The 718-nt window shown below is 46.7% G+C and overlaps 1 annotated feature.

The window, feature by feature from the left end:
* Positions 218-718: an enhancer, noted in NCBI's record as "H3K4me1 hESC enhancer chr14:56328264-56328764 (GRCh37/hg19 assembly coordinates)". NCBI's record gives its function as "activates a minimal SCP1, AML or CMV promoter by ChIP-STARR-seq in naive H9 embryonic stem cells {active_cell/tissue: H9 hESC(naive)}" and the evidence as "EXISTENCE:reporter gene assay evidence [ECO:0000049][PMID:30033119]".

A 718-nucleotide genomic window follows, 5' to 3' on the forward strand; every position in this document is an offset into this window, starting at 1 on the left:
GTATTTCTGTGAGGTCAGTGGTAATGTCCCCTTTGTCGTTTGTAATTGTGTTTATTTGGATTTTCTCTCTTTTTTCTTTATTAGTCTAGCAATCTATCTATTTTATTAATTTTTTTCAAAGAACCAACTCCTGGATTCATTTATCTTTCATATGGTTTTTCATATCTCAATTTCCTTTAATTCAGCTCTGATTTTGGTTATTTCTTGCCTTCTGCTAGCTTTGGGATTGTTTTGCTCTTGCTTCTCTAGTTCTTCTAGCTGTGATTTTAGGTTGTTAATTTGAGATCTTGCTAACTGGGGAGGAGCCAAGATGGCCGAATAGCAACAGCTCTGGTCTACAGCTCCCAGCGTGAGCCACGCAGAAGACGGGTGATTTCTGCATTTCCATTGAGGTACCGGGTTCATCTCACTAGGGAGTGCCAGACAGTGGGCGCAGGTCAGTGGGCACAGCGCACCGTGCGCGAGCGGAAGCAGGGTGAGGCATTGCCTCACTCGGGAAGTGCAAGGGGTCAGGGAGTTCCCTTTCCTAGTCAAAGAAAGGGGTGACAGACGGCACCTGGAAAATCGGGTCATTTCTACCCGAATACTGCACTTTTCCAACAGGCTTAAAAAACGGCGCACCAGGAGATTATATCCCGCACCTGGCTTGGAGGGTCCTATGCCCACGGAGTCTCGCTGATTGCTAGCACAGCAGTCTGAGATCAAACTGCAAGGCGGC

This window comes from Homo sapiens, chromosome 14 (assembly GCF_000001405.40).
Source record: "Homo sapiens chromosome 14, GRCh38.p14 Primary Assembly".
NCBI lineage: Eukaryota > Metazoa > Chordata > Mammalia > Primates > Hominidae > Homo > Homo sapiens.